We start from the raw sequence: 17,827 nt of genomic DNA on the forward strand, positions 1-17,827 counted from the left end.
CAAGACATATCATAAAGTGAAAAAGGCAAGATACAAACAGGGTATATGGAATTCTACCACTGCAGGAAATACGCATATTTGGCGGTACATGCACCGACTATCTGTAGGATTCTTAAGAAACTGAGAACATTGGCAGGGGAAACTGGATGGATGGAGGGCAGGTTGGGAGGAAGACTTTTCATAGCATGTAGTTTACACTTTTTGAATTGTGAATATGTGGATGTATCACTCAAAAATTAAAATCAGAACTTCAGTTAATGGGCACACCTTGGCATGTGTAGCCTGCCCAGGCACCTCTGTTCCTGCTCGGTGCTTGCCCTGGCTCCCCAGCAGTGCCCCAGGAGGAGCAGGCACAGGTCAGGTCGCTGTTGTGCCTGCTGTTCCACAGTAGGAAGAGGGAGGCTTGGCAGAGGCCCAGACAGGAAGACATGATATCAAGTGACTCTAAAGGGCCCTTTTGTTTCCGGAAAGGCAGCAGTTTCCACACAGCATCCCTGCCCCCACTGACAGCCCACTGGCCCTGGGATCCCTTTGCCACCTGCTGCAAGAGCATCATTTCTCCCCCGGAAGAGCCTCTGGGCCTGAGGTGGGGAGGAGAGGGGAGCACTGGCTGGGAAGGGGCATCATTCTAGCTTCCCAAAGGATGTCAGTTGTTCCCAGAATGTCATTTCCAGAGGCATGATGCCACCCTGCCAGCTGTCCTCCAAATTTTGGCATCCCCAGCCTGCCTGTGGCAGAGCAATCTCACTAAGAAAATAGAGCACGAGCACGTGTGCATGTGTGTGTCCCCCTGTGAGCATCTGCGGCCCGTGCACTGGCATGCATTCACTCCATTCATTAACTCCTTCGGAAGACGTTCACTGAGCACCTACTATATTCCAGTCACTGTGCTACGCCCTTGGGATACAGCCAGGAGCAAGACGGTAGAGGTCCTGCCCTCATAGAGCTTATAGTCCAGCAGGATAAATTGACATTAAATTTTAAATAATTCAGTCCCACCCGTAGGGATAAGTGGAAGGAAAAGTACATGCAATTGGGGCACACGATCTAGTGTAAGAGGCCAGGGAAGGTGGAGCAAAGGAACTGGCGTTTGAGACTAAGAAATGTATCAATCGGCCGAGTGCAGTGGCTCACACCTGTAATCCCAGCACTTTGGGAGGCCCAGGCCGGTGGATCACCTGAGGTCAGGAGTTCGAGGCCAGCCTGGCCAGCATGGTGAAACCCTGTCCCTACTAAAAATATGAAAATTAGCCAGGCGTGGTGGCATGCGCCTGTAATCCCAGCTACTCAGGAGGCTGAGGCAGAAGAATCACTTGAGCCCAGGAGGCGGAGGTTGCAGTGAACCGAGATCACGCCACTGCACTCCGGCCTGAGCAACAAGAGCAAACCTCCATCTCAAAAAAAAAAAAAGAAATATATCAATCTAGAGATGGTAAGAAGTGACAAGTGGGCCTTCCACAGACAAGGAACCTGCTCCATGTCCTTGAATAAACCACACCCCCTTAACATTGTTTTATTTGGAAATACATTTTACATTTCAAAAAATTACAAAAATAAAAATAGTACAAAGAACACCTGTATATTTTTTACCCAGATGATTCACTGTTGCTCCCATTTTACCCCATTTGCTTTATCCATCGTGTGTGCCTGCATGCACTCTCCCACTCCACACACATACAGAATTCTTTTCTGAAGAATTTGAGGGTACATTTCACACAGCATAGCCCTTTAGTGCTAAATACTCAGAATCAGATGCCCTTTCCAAGCTCAGTTTGCTCAGTTAGAGCACAAAAAGGATAAGCCCTGTCCTCTCCACCTACCAGGGCAGCTGCAAAGAGCACATGAGATCCTGCACAAGCAAACTCTTGGACACACAGCAAAACTATTATCTTTTTTGGAAGCACTTCTTGGAATTTGGAAATGAAAGGTGATTTCCCAGAGAAATGCCCAGGTTCTCAGTTCCTCCAGGAGACAGCATGTTCTTCAGCCAGGCCTGGTGTGTGTGTGTGTGTGTGTGTGTGGTGTGTGTGTGTAGGTCAGCAGCGTTCCCCTGCAGCCCCTCCTCTCCATCAGGCAGCCAGGGCAGACTTGAGCTCTGGTGAGCACCTTTCTGGCTGATGAGCTCCCCTGGCTCCAGGGAAGCCTTGGGAGGGCAACCGTGGCTTGAAAACAATGCTCATCCGCCCCTGGGAAGGGCTCCTTCTCCTTGATGAAATGGAACCGAGCCAGCACGGAAACCCAGACCTGCATTCAGGGAGCCCACAAATACTCACAGAGCACAATAAACAAGTGTTGGTCCTCTCAGCACGTTTTGGGACCCATCTCCTTAATGAGAACAATAAATTCACACGAGGAAAGGTGGTCGCCAAGCAAAAGCGACTGACACACTCCCCCGGCTTCCTTGGCCCCGGGGGACTACCCCCTCTGAGCGTGGGACCTGCAGAATCAATAACTGGAAGGGACAAGGGCCAGACCTACGGAGTCAGAACTTCTGGGCTCAGAGCCTAGGAATGTGTATTTTTAAAGGCTTCCTGGAGGACAATCAGGTTTAGCAACCACTGGCCTAAAAACCCTGTGAGATCACTCCTAGCGCTGAAATACTCTGGTCCTGTGAATAGGAAAATGGATCTAAAGGTAGAAGATACACAGACACAGTTAAATAGGGGTGCATTCATCCCTGGACCCCAAAAAGGCACTTGATCATAGTTTCCGCAGAGCTGAAATCTTAAGCCCTTTGCTGGCAGCCTGTGAATCCTGGAAGGGAAACGTGTACAGCCAAGCCTCAGCATGGGTGCAAGGATGTCTTCCAGCTCCTCTCCCTCCTTAGTTTGTCAAAACCATCCCTGATGTACAGATTCTGTCCCCAGACTGCAAGTTCTCCCTGGGTTGGGGAGAAGAGGTGGAGGAGAATCAGGGAGGCAGCCACAGTCTGCTCTAGCTGCATTGACAAGAACTGGTTGCTGGCTGGTGTGGGCCAGCTCAGAGGAGCACAGCTGTGAGCAAGGCCAGGTGCAGTCGGCCTGAGTGAGCCCAGAGGGGCCAGCTGTCCGGCCCAAGCTAGGGAGCAGTGCTCACTGACCACAGGGCAGTGGGGACTCTGTTCTCTGTGTGGCTGGCTTCTTTTCTTTTTTTTTTTTTCCTCAAGTGACCCACACCCCTCAATGGGTCACTCTGCCTCTCACTGGAGGTTTCTTCTTGAGTTTCTAGGCAAACACTGGGGCTCTGGGGCCCTGCAACCTTATCCCTCCCATCGTTAAACTGTGTGAGAGTTCCAGGGAGCCAAAATCTGGGTGTGCCTCCTCCCCTGCCCCAGCACTCAGCATTGTCCCAGGCAGACAGCAGGCACTAAGGAAATGACGGAGAGAGGGACGCAGGAATGGAAGGGAAAGGAGAAGAAAGAGGAGAGGAAGGGAGGGAGAAAGGAATGAAGGCTGCAATACAGCTGCAGGAAAACCCCGTTCTTATTCGACCCACTGCATCAGATTTCTCCCCAGGGCCTCTTCCAGGAAAGCTCCTTTGGTGAAACCCGGTTCATAACTACTTCCCCTCCCTCTCACCATCACGCTAGGACTTCTCTTGTGAGGGAAGAGTGTGACTAAACTAAAAGCGTGAACTAAATGGACTTTACAAATGGTTTTCCAGACGTCAGAAGCCACCCACCTTGCACACAGAAGGAATAACTGACAGATTGAAAGAACTGGCATCTCTGAATGTCCAAATCTGTCCTATTCTTCAAGATCCAGAGGCAAGAGCTACCACCTCAGTGAAGTCTTCCCGGATTTCTCTAACAGGAGGTGATCTCTCCTCCTCTAAAACTACACAACACGCTATCCATCCTTCTTTGACTGATAAGCTGCAGTTTTTCTGCCTTATGATACAGCCATTTTGTGAACATGAAAAGGGCGACACCAAGGAAATAGCAAAAGCTTGGCAGTCAGACTTTCCCAAGGTTAAATCCCACCTCTCCCTCTTGCCAGCTGTGTGAGTGTGGAGGAGTTGCTTATCCTCAGTTTCTTCGTGTATCAAATCAGGATAATAACCACATGGCAAGTTTGTTGTAGGGATTACAATGGGATAGAGATTAGTGGGGTTCACATCATTCCCATATTTCCTTTCCCATCCCAGGGAAGAATTACACTTCTCTGTCCCGCTTGAAGTTAGGTATGTCCATGTGACATCCTCTGGCCAATGACATGTGAGCAGAAGTCACGAGTGTCCCCTCCGGGCAGAAGCGTTTCAGAGTTGGTGCACATTTCCTGTGCTCTCTTCCCTGGCCGCAGCAACAGCCAGGAAAGAGAACAGCTCCCGTGTTGAGAAGGTGGCATCGTCAGATGGTACAGCACCCTTCGGATTGGCAGCCATCAGCACATCCCTCTGCCGAAGAGCTGTCCAGAGGATGTAACATCAGTGAGAGACAAATGCCTGTTGCCTCCAGCCACTGAGATTCTGAGGTTGTTTGTTACCACAGCATTACCTAACCTATTCTAATACAAGACAAGATGTATGCGGGACCCTTAGCATGGCTCCGATACATAGTAAGTACTTGATAAATATGCCATGACTGAAGAAATAGTCAAACAAATCTGTGAACAAATGAATAGACTAGTAAATATGTCCAAACTGGAGCTGTGCTCCCTCAGGAAGGTCTGGACAAGTCTCCTGGCACCTTCGAGGTGAATGTAAATGCCTTATTCATGTGCCACTGGTGGCCATGTTACACCTGAACAGTAGGGATGGCTGTCCTTTATGACTTTTCTCCCTGCTTATCCAGGAATGCAATGTCACCCATGCAAGCCCCACACTTCTCCCTGGACTCCACCTCTCCCTGCCACCTGTAACTGAGGATTCCGGGAGTTGGGGCTCTCGGTTCTGGTGTGTTTGCCATCAGGAGAGTCACACTCCCAGCAAAGTGATGCTGGAGGATCCCTTGAGCCTCCCCACCACCCACCGCCCACAAGGCACGGTCCAGAGAGAAGGGGCTGGGGAGCGGGAATCAGAGGCAACTAGTTGCTGTTCTTCTCCAGTCCTGGAAACTGAGGGGCCTTCACAGGAAGCTACTTCACACAACTCAGACCCATCCAGTTGAAAATAGACAGGCCTCAGCCCAGAAGGGAGCTGAAAACGGCCATGAGCAACCCCTGTAGAGTGCACAGGGGTTTGTAGCTTTACCATGTATTGTTTTCATATCCAGTGCCTGCTGTGGTCCCAACAGCAACTCGATGAAGTTGCCTGGATTGGAATCATGATTGCCCCATTTTACAAAAAAAAGAAACTAAGGCTGGGATAGGGAGATGAATTCTTCAAGACACTCCGTAGTGTCTAGAGGAGCTGGACTCAGTCATTGCTATCAGGAGCTGGCCTGAGTCTTCCCTCTGCCCACCGAAGGAGGGGCTGACAGCCCTTTTTTTATTTTTTCACATCAAGGACATCCTTTTTCTTCTGGCAGATACCTACTGCTTGATGAAGCAGGCGTATGGTGTGTTCACCAACAATCTTTAAAGACTGCTCCCCATAACTATAAAAGCAATAAAAAGGAGAGAGAGGGAGGAAGGAGAGAAACCAACACATCACCCAGGGGAAGAAGGGAGAGAGAAAAGCCTTCTTCTGAAGGACTAAGGTCCTGGCCCCACTGCAATGCGGGGTGTGTGCATCAGAGGTAGCCAGCAGCAAGGCACCGGGCATGTGATCAGAGTCACTGCTGAGTGGACCTGAGGCCAGAGCTGGGAACTAGCAAGGGCCAAGTCCAAAAGCAAAGGCGAAATGGAGCTGGGAGAGTAAGCGCCAGGTCAGGTGGTGGGGAGGAGGATGCTGAGGACAGGTCCGGAAAGCCTGGGGGTGCCGGAGTCCCCATTCTGTGGTGTTTTTGCAGGTTTGAGGACAGGTGTGGTGGCCACAGGGGACCTGCAGGGCGAGGTGTAGTTTCCTCTTCTGGCCGATGAAGTGGTTGACCCTGGGTTTCTCTGCTTGCCCCCAGCTCTGACGTTGAGATGGTTTTTCATGAACCGAAAGCTTTTCGATTCTCAATCTCTAGACCACTGAGAGCTGTGTCACATCCAGACTCAGAGCTAACCAGCAAGCACAGGAGATACCACTGCGCTCTCCCCTTCATACCTCACGACCCAACCAGGAGAGCAGTTCATGCCTGCCGTACCGATGGGGAAACTGAGGCTTTAAGAGGCGAAGGTACTTCCCTAAGTACCACAACTAGGAAGTGGAGAAATTTGAATGCACTCCTAGCTGACTGCAAACTTCAGGTTATTTCTACTGCATGAAGCTGCTTCCTAAGTTCAGAGTAAAGATCCACCCAGGGTCACAGTCCCCTGGGGCCATTTTTCAGAAAGTTGGCCACCTACATCAATGAACTAAAAAGGAGCAGTGATAAGGCTCCATCTCTTTCCTTTCCTTTGCCCAAAGAGAATGAGCACTCATACCAACAGCAGTAGTGCAGAAAGCCATTTGCCCCCGTGTCCTTTACAGAGACAAACAGATAACCCTTATTTGCAAGCTGGGTAAAATATTAACTCAGCACCCAAGGGCGCTGTCCAATACAAGCAAGACAAAGTCCTTGGCTTTAGTTTGGGAGCTCAGAACTAAGCATCCACCCTCAGGCTGTCCTCCCACACCCCCAGGTGCAGGGTCCCCTTCCCTCACCATTACAGCATTGCAAGAAGGCAGCACAATGCCTCCGCAGCCTGGAGAAGCAAGGGAGAGCACAGTCCTCACATCCAACTAAAGGTTCCCTAAGGTGCAGGGCTGTGTTTGCACCCTCTGCCTGCTCAGACAGCCATTCCAGGAAGTGATTTTGCTTCTGCATGTACTCCTATGGGTGCCACCCACCCTCACTTTTGGTCTCACCCACTGTGACCCGGCAGAGACTCCACATCATGATGGCTTTCAAGAGGTACAGCTCCCACTCTCCTGGCTGGCTCAGGAAGGGAGTGGCCTCTCCCAGATGTACCAAAGTGCCTTTTCTCTGGGCCCTCAGTGGCATCTCCACTGCTGTTGTCTGCCCATTGGCTGAGCACCACATGCTCCAAGCCTGTGTCCACCACTGCTGTGGACACGCTCAGGCAGCCAGAGGGGAGCAGGCAGTGACAGATCTCAGATGGTGCTGGACGAGGGCTCTGGCCATCTCTTATTTTCTCAGTCCCTATAGGGGCCAACTCGCCTTCCCAACTGGTTGAAAAAAAAAATGACCTACCTGGAAATCAACTTCCCCTCCTTAACTCGAAGTGATGTTAAAATCTTAGGAAGTAGGACATTGCTGCTGGCAGTAAACCTCCCCCACCAGAGCACATGAAGAATAAAAACAAACAAACAAACAAAAGTCTTAGGTGGTTGGCAGTGTAAGCACAGCAGTGACTTTTGGACGGACGGCTCCAACCACAGGACTGAAACCTAAAATGACCCAGGCAATCAGCCCCAAATAAACGAAGCAGGCAGCAAAGACCTCTCAGGTCTGTACTTACTAGTCACGTTATGAGGCCACCTGGAAATAGTAGCCACCCCAATCCCTCCACCCCATACCTCAGAGCCTTTGTTTATGTTGTTCTCTGTCTAGAAGGACCTTCTCTACCTCATTCATTCCTACATAAGCTCAGTGCCACCACCTCAGTGAAGCCTCCCTTAACCTACACAGCCCTGAACTTCACAATCACAGTTACTTGTTTTTTTCTCTAATCATCCCCTAATTTAAGCGTGGCTATTGGACAGCACTTGCCATGTTTTACTATACTTAGCTCTTTTAAACATCAGATTTCTAGAATAGTTCAAATTATTTCTAAGGAGAGAATATATTTTGCAAACCCCAAACCTGTCTTGTAGCCATTCGGCAAAGTTTGTTGAATAAATTAGCCAGTGTCTGGATAAAATACCTTTATAATTATAAACTACTTGATCCTCAAAGCATCCCTCCAATAGAAAAGGACAACTGTTACTATCCCCATTTAACAGATGACATGCATATGACAGGCTGACGCTCATTCACTCAACTTAGGTTAAATGTGTGCAAATTTCCAGTGTAGCAAAGTGTTTCTCGATGTGCACACGAATTTCCTGGGGAGCTTGGAAAGATTCAGACTGATTCAGCAGCTCTGGTATGGGGCCTGAGATTCTGCATTTCAAACATACCCCCAGGTGACATTATACTGCTGGTGCTGGGGCCACATTGCCAGTCTCACCTACCTAACAGGGTGGCCGAGAGGAAGAAAAGATCCAATTAGTATAGTGAGTACGTAGCAGGAACTGGTGTCTCTGAAACCATAGGAAAGAGGATGGATAGACAGCTTTATATCCACTTCACAGAGGTGAAAACTGAGGGCCTGAGAGACAAAGCGACTCCTCCAAGATCTAATGCACCCTCTGATACCGGTTCAGTACTGTCTAGACTGCCATCTACTGCTCTGCATGTCAGGGGGATTCCCAGATGAAGGTACCACATCCTGTCCTCAGCAAGGTGATGAGGGTGACACACCTGCACCTGCAGGGACTATAATACAAAGTTGAGCGAGAGAAAAGCCAAAAGTCCAGAAGCGGGTGAGCACGTGCCAGCCAGATCTTACGTAAATCCGTGCCACATCTTTTGTTCCCTACCCATGGCTCAATTAGACTGGAGATGGGGGTCTTCTTCTATCAACCCAATCCCTTTAAAAAAAAAAAAAAAGAAAGATAAAAAATAGTAGCTTTAGGATTTTTCTTTTAAGCACTGAACCTCTTCAGTGGAAAGTGCTGCCCTTCCGACCTGTTGATGTAATTGCCATAATTGAAGATTCCAGGCTCCCATGTGAGTGGACAGGGCCCCATTCATCCATCGGGTCAGCGAAGTGTAAACCTGCTGAGTCCTTCAGATGCCCTGGCCGCAACCGCCCCCCACAGCCCCCTCCAGCCCTGCAGCCTGGGCTCCCCGCAACGCCAGGGCAGCCAGGCCCAGGCCAGTCCCTCCTGCGATCTGGGAACGGTGCCTAATTAAGGGGTCTGTTCTCATCTCCATGGGGCCGACTTAACGCCTTCTGACAGTAATGAGAGCCACACGTGTGGGGGTGGGGGGTGGGAAAGACGGCCCACCTGCTGTCTTAGCACCCTATTAAACAGCAAGTCTAACACACACACACACTCACACACACACACACACACAGGCACACATTGCAGGCCTGCAGTAACCACCATCAAATCTTTAAAGCTACAAGGAGCTGCTCCAATTCTGAAAGAGGAAGGAACCAAAGAGAAGAAATAAACTGCCCAAGGGCACACAGTGAGTCACTGTCACTGGGACCCAGGTGTCCTGTTGCACCTCACAGCACAGACTTCCCCTGTGGAGGGTGGGACCCTCCACTGCAGCCCCAGGGGAGCACATATGAGTGTTGGGGCTGAGGAGGAGGCAGTCTTGACTACTCTGGAGCAGCCAGTTGCAGAGGGCCAGCCACAGCAGAGCAGAAAGGAGCTCTGAGAACAGATTCCTCCAGGGGCTTCTGTCTCCAGGACACCCTTTGGTACAAGACAAAGCAAACCTCAGAGGGGAACACTCAACTGCTGCTGGTGGATCCACATCTAATCCTTCTGACATCCAAAAGGAGCTAGTCTTGGTTTCCTTCTCGTGCATGCTTTGTGTCCCTGTCTAACCTCCTACCAGTGTCCTGTCCCCACAGTCCTCAGTCCCAGCCCCCTCTCCTGTCCGCTTCCCATGAGCAGCTTAACTAGCTGCTCTGTGCCGATTCTCTTCTGTTTTCCCAACGGAGGAACTTTGCACAGTGCTGGGCACATGGTGAGTACTCAGTAAATATTTAGTAAATATAATAAAAGTCAATTGATGTTAGCTCCAGCTCTAAGACATGTTAGTTCATTGTGTTAATCATAATTTTGTTTATAGGCGGGGCCAGAGAAGCCTCCTGAGATGCAGGTGTAGCAAAAATGCTGAAAATAACGTGGACCAAATCTCTGCAATACTGGCCCATTAATAAAGATGGTGAATGAAAGGAATGGAATATTTCAGTTATGTCCAATTCCAGTTCTAATTCCAATGGCACAGTGATGAATCCCAAAAAAGAAGCCAACATATCCTGGATACTAACGATCTAATCTGGATATGCAGACTCCTTCCAGAAGCTCCGTCACTGGCATCTCTGCTACCATCTTCCCTCTTTGGACTTCCCAATCCTCTCTGCACACTAGCGCTCAGCACGGTGGATCTCTCTACTTGTATTATGTCACACCCTTGCTCAAAAGCCTTCAGTGGTTTCCCCTGCATAAAATCTGCACCACCCGGCTCTCAGGGACCTTGTGGGTCTGGTTTGGCCTCAGCTCAACACCGCAGTTTTCCACTTCTCTCCAGAGCAACTGCTTCCCTCCGCTTTGGTCAAACTGGTTTCCTTACCCAACTCAGACAGCATACAATAGGGAGTGGGAGTAACGATAAAATTTGTAGCCAAAAAAGTCAGGTGTGAGTCTCAGATTCACCATCGGATCTCTCTGAGTCTAGTTCCTCAAGGGTAAAATGGAGATGATAATTATGTTCACTTTGTAGAGTCGGCATGAGGATTTTGTGATGTAATGGATGTTAAAGGACTTTACAAACTGTAAAGGGCCGAAGGACAGTTGTTCATCTCTAGCCATGGATTATTCCCAACTCCAGCATTGTCTTTGATCTCACGACTCACTTTCCCTTGCCCTTCTCCATATCTTACACCCACTCAAACCCAACTCCAGCCCTGCCACCCGTAGAAAGCCGTACCTGATCCCTCCAGTTCTCACTGATCCTGGCTTTTAAAGTCATGCCCATAAAGCATCTTGATTTGCTCACTGTATCTTACGCATGTCCGCCTTAGAACTCCAAGTTTATGATTATTTACCTACAGATGATATAAACATTCAGGTTGCTTACAATGAAAAAGTAAGTACATCTATAATAGCAAAGGTCAAGATAAAAAAGTGAAAAATCAGAAATGTCATTTTTTTTGCTAAGGTGTATTAGCTTGCTAGAGCTGCCATTCCAAAACACCATAGACTAGGTGGCTTAAACAACAGAAATGGATTTTCTCACAGTTCTGGAGGCTGGAAGGCCAAGATCAGGGTGCCAGCATGGTGGGCTTCTGGTAAGGGCTTTCTCCCTGGCTTGTAGACAGCCGACTTGACTTCTAGTTATGGCCTCACATGGCAGAGAGAGAGAGTGTGTGTGTGGGCAAGATGTCTAATTTCTCTTCTTTCTTCTTATAAAGGTGCTAATCCCATCATGAAGGCACCACCCTTAGGAATTCATCTAAACCTAATTACCTCCCAAAGGCCTCATCTCTAAATACTGTCACATTCAGGGTTCGGGTTTCAACATATGAATTTAGGGAGGGGCACAATTCAGTCTGTTGCAGGGAAAAAAAGGACAATTATGTCCCCTTTTAAGGGACTGGTTAAGTGGCTACTGCAGCTAAGTATCCTTGGAGGATAATCTTCATTTCCTCTTCTTCACATTTCTATACAGGGGAGACTTGCTCTCCCCAGAATATGAAGTAGGAGGGTTGGAGTGAGCCTTTCCCCTCTCTCTCCCTTTGGGGAGAAGGAATAACTAATGGGTGACCCGTAGGTGTTCACGGAGTAAGGGGCACCAGGAGACAGTCACTGCCTTTTGCTCCTTTGGGCTCCTCAGAGCAGAGCAGACACCTGCTTTCCAGCCTCTCTTGACTTCTGTGATAAGCCGCCTGCTCGGGGAATTGCCCCTCTCTGCCACCCACCACCACTACCAAACAGGATGGTCACTATTCTCCTGCTGCTTCTACTCCACTGGTTTTCTAGAAACAGGCCCATAATCTTTCCCTTGTAGTAGCTTGAAAAAGTGGACTCACAGTCTGCATGGCAGAACATGCCGATCCCAAAGCCTAGCTCAGGGAGGAAGTATGAGATCCCACCCCCTCTCCCAATACAGTGGTTAGAAGAGAGCCCTGACATTTTGGAAGCTTACTTGCCATCTGATATGGTTTGGCTGTGTCCCCACCAAAATCTCATCTTGAATTGTAGTTTCCATAATCCCCACATGTCATGGGAGGACCTGGTGGGAGGTAATTGAGTCATGGGGGCAGTTTCCACCATGCTGTTCTCATGACAGTGACTGAGTCCTCATGAGAGCTTATGATTTTATAAGGGGCTTCCCCCTTCACCTGGCACTCATTCTCCCTCCTGCCGCCCTGTGGAAAGATGCCTTCCACCATGATTTTGAGTTTCCTGAGGTCTCTCAGCCATGCAGAACTGTGAATAAATTAAACCTCTTTTCTTTATTTCTATTTTTAATTTTTTTTTTTTTTTTTTTTTTTTTTTGAGACGGAGTCTCGCTCTGTCGCCCAGGCTGCAGTGCAGTGGCAAAATCTCAGCTCACTGCAACCTCCGCCTCCAAGGTTCAAGTGATTCTCCTGCCTCAGCCTCCCGAGTAGCTGGGATTCCAGGTGCCCACCACCATGCCCGGCTAATTTTTGTATTTTTAGTAGAGACAGGGTTTCGCCATGTTGGCCAGGCTGGTCTCGAACTCCTGACCTCAGGTGATCGACCCGACTTGACCTCCCAAAGTGCTGGGATTACAGGCATGAGCCACCATGCCCGGCCCCTCTTTTCTTTATAAATGACCCAGTCTCAGACATCTCTTCATAGCAGTGTGAGAACAGACTAATACACCATCAATCCAGCTGATGCTCTGAAGTGCCTTTGGCCAATGGTCTTGAGCCTATTCTCAGTCACCCCTAAAGGGAAGGAGAGATGGCTTTAGACAATCCAGCAAGCACCAGTGTGAACTATGAGCTTCTTGATAGCCAAATATCACTGACAAAAAGTGGAAATATGGCTAACATGAAAGAGAAAGAAGACTATGGCCTGATAGAAGGGATGTTGAGTAACATAGTGAATGGGGTCCTCAAGGATGGCTTAGCAGAAGACATCAAGATGGCCAGCTTTTGTAATAGTGTGTAATAAAAACTAAGGGCAAGGTATTTGTTATTCAGTGTGAGAGATCTGGATTAATACCATTCAAACCTCTTGCTTTCTGCTGACCCAATCAGATATAAGGAAAAGGCTTAATTCATTGTCTCAATCATGTTCGGGGCAGGAAAGAAATATCAGACAATTTAAAATTAACCTTGTACACGACCATAACCATGAGAATAAAAACTCTTGTGACTCTTTGGAAAGTAATTTTACAATATTTATTGAGAGTCTTAATTATGCCCTTCTCCTTAACTAGAAATTCCAATTCTGTAAATTTATCCTAAGAAAAATAAAATGTTAAAAGTTTAGATTGTTAAATACATTAGGAAAATCATGGTACATAAATGATGAAAAATTATGCGGTCATTTGAAATGAAACTTATGAGGAATTTATGTTGCTGTAATGTTATATGACAAAAGCATGTAATAAGTTATATACAATGTATATATTGTACATACAGTGATCATAATCATGTAAAATCATAAAGAAAAGTTAGAAAAAGGGCAAATAATGAGAGTAGTTATCTTCTTTCACCTTATCTGTATTTGTCTATTTTTTTCCAGTAAGCATACATTATTTAGAATTGAAAATAAAATAAACTATAATTATATATATCATATATCTTATATATCATATATATGATATATATATATCTCTTCATACTTTAGATACCAGCCTGGAAGACAACGGAGCTGTCATTCTGTTAAAAAATTAAGAGAAGTACGCAGAACCTGCCTTTTTCTAAATGAGAAGCTTTGGAAGCGACTGGACACTTTTGGCCATTGCAGTCCACAGGTAGCCTCTCTGGGGGCAATAGACAGACTTTTTCACTTCTTGTATTTACTCCCCAAATGCTTGATTACATAGCTTGTCACCTGTCAGGGGGGCCAGCTAGCTAGTTGCTGGGTTGAGTGGTTAATCCAATGATTTGTATAGCTGGCTCACTAAGGAAATCATAGGTACTCAATATATAGCTACTGAACAATTCAATGAATGATTGAATTAGTTATCATTTAACCTATTGGCTGGGAAGTGCTGAAAGAATTCAAACCCTCTTAATATGCTTCAAGTCCAGCCTGCACTCTCTACCTTCAGGGATCCCTGCTGGGCCACTTGGCCCTTGCTCCTTTCTCCAGCAGAAATCATCCCCCCTGTACCCCTTTCTCCACTCCCACATTCCCTTATGGCCTGGTACAGACCACTGCTGTATTATCTGAGTCATTAGCATAGCCCTGATGCCATTTGTTTATTTGTCTGACTTCCTCACTTGACTCTGAGCTCTCTGCAACAAGGTTTTGCATGTTGTTCAATTTAAAAAATCTGCCTCTAAGGTTATAAGCAGAGCCCAGGACATATCTATTCAACATGACATTTCATAGGGGTTCAGCAAATGTTTGCAAACAAACAAAAAAGGAATGCAGGACAAGGATATTTTGAGTACCAATGAGCCATCCAGCCCTGAGCTAGGTTCAGTCTCTGAAGGCATGAAGAAGGAACCACAGGAGAATTAACATAACTCTCACCACGCTTCATTGCAATCCATCGTTTACTTGTTTCTTTTCACCTGTAGATTATAAATGTCATGAAGACAGGGGCTGTGTCTGTCTTATTCACCTAACTAACCACAGCAACTCACACCATGCCATGGAAGGCACTCAAAAATTTTATGTTGAAGCGATAAGTGGATGGCAAAGGCACCCCAATTTTCAGGATTGATTTCCTCCAACTGTAATTAGTCACTGAGCAAAACAGCCCAGGCTGGAGTGCAGTGGTAGGATTATGGCTCACTGCAGCCTCGACATCCTGGACTTAAGTGATCCTCTCATCACAACCTCTGGAATAGCTGCAACTACAGGTGTGTACCACCACGACTAGTTAATTTATATTTATTTATTTATTTATTTATTTATTTATTTATTTATTTATTGAGAGAGACAGAGATCTCATTTTGTTGCTCAGATTGGTCTCAAACTCCTAGCTTCAAGCAATCCTCCTACCTCGGCCTCCCAAAGAGCTAGGTGTGAGCCACTGTGCCTGGCCCTCTTGCTTTCTTATTGAGAGCCAAGTATAGTTGGAGACTGGTGGAGGTTTTCTCTCCCCAGCAGAAGGTTACCTGGAGACTTTGGCAAGAGCCACAGCAGTTCCTAAAAGGAAAAGAAACCTCAAAGGAGAATGTTAATCTCCCCGATCAGGTAAATGAGCAACAACAGGTAACAAATAATTCACCCCAGTGATCCCTCAGAATTGCATGCCTGTCTTTAAATCTCCTTATACAAGCTGACTTCCTTAGAAAAAGCAGGTAAAATCAGAAAGCAAGAAAGCAAGGAAGGAAGGGAAGGGAAGGGGAAGGGAAGGGAAGGGAAGGGAAGGGAACGGAAGGGAAGGGAAGGGGAGGGAAGGGAAGGGGAGGGAAGGGTACGGAAGGGAAGGGAAGGGAAAAGAGAGAGTCCTTAAATTCTTGAGACAAATTGCAGTGGTAGGATTATGGCTCTATCTTGACATTTTGCAAAACTACATCCGAGCCTATCCTTTGCTCAGCTCTACGTCAGCCAAAGCCTCAGTTATAAATAAATTCACAAATATACGGAACGCTGGGCCTCGCCCCAAGGCCAACGTTCCTCGTTCATGTGTGCATTCACCAGCTCCAGCTCTCCCTGGAAACATCCTTTTCTATGTAACAGCCTAAATCATCCTAAAGAGGACATTCTCCAACATTAGCATACCTAACAATCAACACGGAGATTTCCAGGACCTGTTCCAGAAACACGGATTCAGTAGGTTTAGGGTGGAAGTTTGGAATCTGCCTTTTAACCAACTCCCTGCTATGGACTGAATTGTTTCACCCCAAAATTCATATATTGAAGCCCTCACCCCTAATGTGATGGCATTTGAAGATGGGGCCTTTGGGAGGTCATTATGTTTAGATGAGGTCGTGAGGAAGGGAGCCCCATGATGGATGGGATTAGTGCCCTCATAAGAAGACATGCCAGAGAGCTCTCTCTACTCTCAAGTACCCAGGAAAGGCCATAACAAGACACAGCCAGAAGACAGCTATCTGCAAGCCAGGAAGCGCCCTCACCAAACAGACACGGACCCTGCTAGCACCTTGCTCTTGGGCATTCAGCCTCCAGAATTGGGAGACGATCAATTCCTGCTGTGAAGGTATTTTATTAAGGCAGCCAAAGCTGACTGAGATACTTCCCCGATCACTGTGATGTCCAGTGCCGAGGGCCTATGCTTTGAAAATCAATATTCTAGTCTTAGGCCAAAACTCTCCTCCCTGCTTCCCCAGCCACTCCTTGAGCTTTCTTCTTCCTCATGGCCCTCTCGGCCATCTGGACAGGCTTCTTCCTGGATACAAGTCACATGAATGTCACTGACCTGTGACTTTGTCTTTGTTTCCTGAGTGCATCACACAGTACATGGCCTACGGCAGGCATTCAGAAAATATTGATTTCATGAATGAATAGGTGAATGAATGAGTGAGCAAATGAATGAATTTATATCACATAGAATAATTAACTTCCCTTTTAGTATCTCCCTAATCCTTCCAACTCTAACTTGAGGAAGCTATGACTTGCTTTCAAGATCATTTTCCAGGCCTGGCGCGGTGGCTCACGCCTGTAATCCCAGCACTTTGGGAGGCTGAGGCAGGTGGATCACCTGAAGTCAGGAGTTCAAGACCAGCCTTGCCAACATGGTGAAACCCTGTCTCTACTTAAAATACAAAAATTTGGCAGGCTTGGTGGCCGGCGCCTGTAATCCCAGCTACTTGGGAGGCTGAGGCAGGAGAATTGCTTGGACCCACAAGGCGGAGGTTGCAGTGAGCTGAGATCACACCACTGCACTCCAGCCTGGGCAACAAGAGCAAAACTCTGTCTGAAAAATGAATAAATAAATAAATAATAGGATTATTTTGCATCCATTCTATTGTTTTGTGGGAATCTTTCACAGTCATTGCCTGGGAATCCAGTGATGAAAAGTGGCCCACAAATACAATCTAATGGAGGCCCTCAGGTTATTCACTAAAGCTCAGAGAAGATCATTTTCCAATCAGAGACATCCACAAGTGGAATGGTGCTAGAATCTTCCCTCCCCTGCAGGAAAGCCCTGGTCAGCCAGGTCAGATGTGGGCAGATGGTTTGCTCTTCTCCACCGAGTACTGAGTGAAGCCTTGGGCTGGAAATCCAGGTAGGGAGGTTAAGGACAAATTTGGAATTAAAACACAATAAGCCCCTTCATTCCTTCCCCATTCACATCCTCCATTCTTAAGGCTGGGAAAAAAAAAAAAAAAAAAGACCCCTTACTTCCTCATGCAAGACTGCCCCCAGGCTTAATCAGAGCCTTAACTGCTGTCTTTGGCTGTGTTGTAAGCACAGTGACAATGATCAGGTTAGGTGTTTAGAACAGTATGATGTCAGTCGGGCTTGTGATGAAAGAGTCGCTGACAGACAGTGCAAGCCAACACCATGAGAACAGCTCAGGCTATGAGGTCATTCAGTCCAACAGGTAGGCAGGTTTGTTTTCTTAGCCCTGACATTCGATGCCCTGCCGGTTATTGAATAACCAGAAATGAGGCGACTCCTACAAATTCCTGGATCTCCATGGGGATGGAGAAGGAGGGGCTGTGCTTCGTCTGCCAAACTGTGGGTTTGATTAAGGGCACCGGAGGAGAAGCCAGAACTGGAAACCTGTCTCTAGGAAGATGGGTAGATGAAAGAAAATGCAAGAAAGATATTCAGGGGCAAGTGGGATCATTTCTGCAGAGGTGAAAAATGATTCTGCATCCCATTTAATCCAATCATGCCCTGCTCCTAGAGAGGAAAGTGAAACACCCTCAGACTGAACACGTGGTCAAACTCAGATGAATGA

The 17,827-nt window shown here is 47.3% G+C and overlaps 1 protein-coding gene across 11 annotated transcripts in view, besides 2 other annotated features; it reads left to right on the forward strand.

The window, feature by feature from the left end:
- The window catches only part of LOC102724877 (uncharacterized), a 53,476-nt gene that overhangs the window by 25,233 nt on the left and 10,416 nt on the right, over window positions 1-17,827 (forward strand). For 3 of the 11 annotated variants that reach the window (XR_001741077.3, XR_001741080.3, XM_011513356.4), the window contains 2 exons: window positions 13,624-13,750; window positions 14,526-14,606. Coding sequence is in view for 3 of the 11 variants with exons in the window: in XM_011513356.4 (XP_011511658.1) it covers window positions 13,624-13,750; window positions 14,526-14,573 (175 nt within the window). In the remaining 8 variants the exon portion in view is untranslated. Of the gene's footprint in view, window positions 1-13,623; window positions 14,223-14,525; window positions 14,811-15,060; window positions 15,267-15,597; window positions 15,666-17,827 lie in introns of those variants that run through there. The other 8 variants (XR_002959666.2, XM_011513352.4, XM_011513353.4 and 5 more) reach the window with 4 other exon arrangements.
- Window positions 5,706-5,995: an enhancer, noted in NCBI's record as "active region_21013". NCBI's record gives its function as "activates an Ori minimal core promoter by ATAC-STARR-seq in GM12878 lymphoblastoid cells {active_cell/tissue: GM12878}" and the evidence as "EXISTENCE:reporter gene assay evidence [ECO:0000049][PMID:35858748]".
- Window positions 8,888-8,977: an enhancer, noted in NCBI's record as "active region_21014". NCBI's record gives its function as "activates an Ori minimal core promoter by ATAC-STARR-seq in GM12878 lymphoblastoid cells {active_cell/tissue: GM12878}" and the evidence as "EXISTENCE:reporter gene assay evidence [ECO:0000049][PMID:35858748]".

Source organism: Homo sapiens, chromosome 3 (genome assembly GCF_000001405.40).
Source record: "Homo sapiens chromosome 3, GRCh38.p14 Primary Assembly".
NCBI lineage: Eukaryota > Metazoa > Chordata > Mammalia > Primates > Hominidae > Homo > Homo sapiens.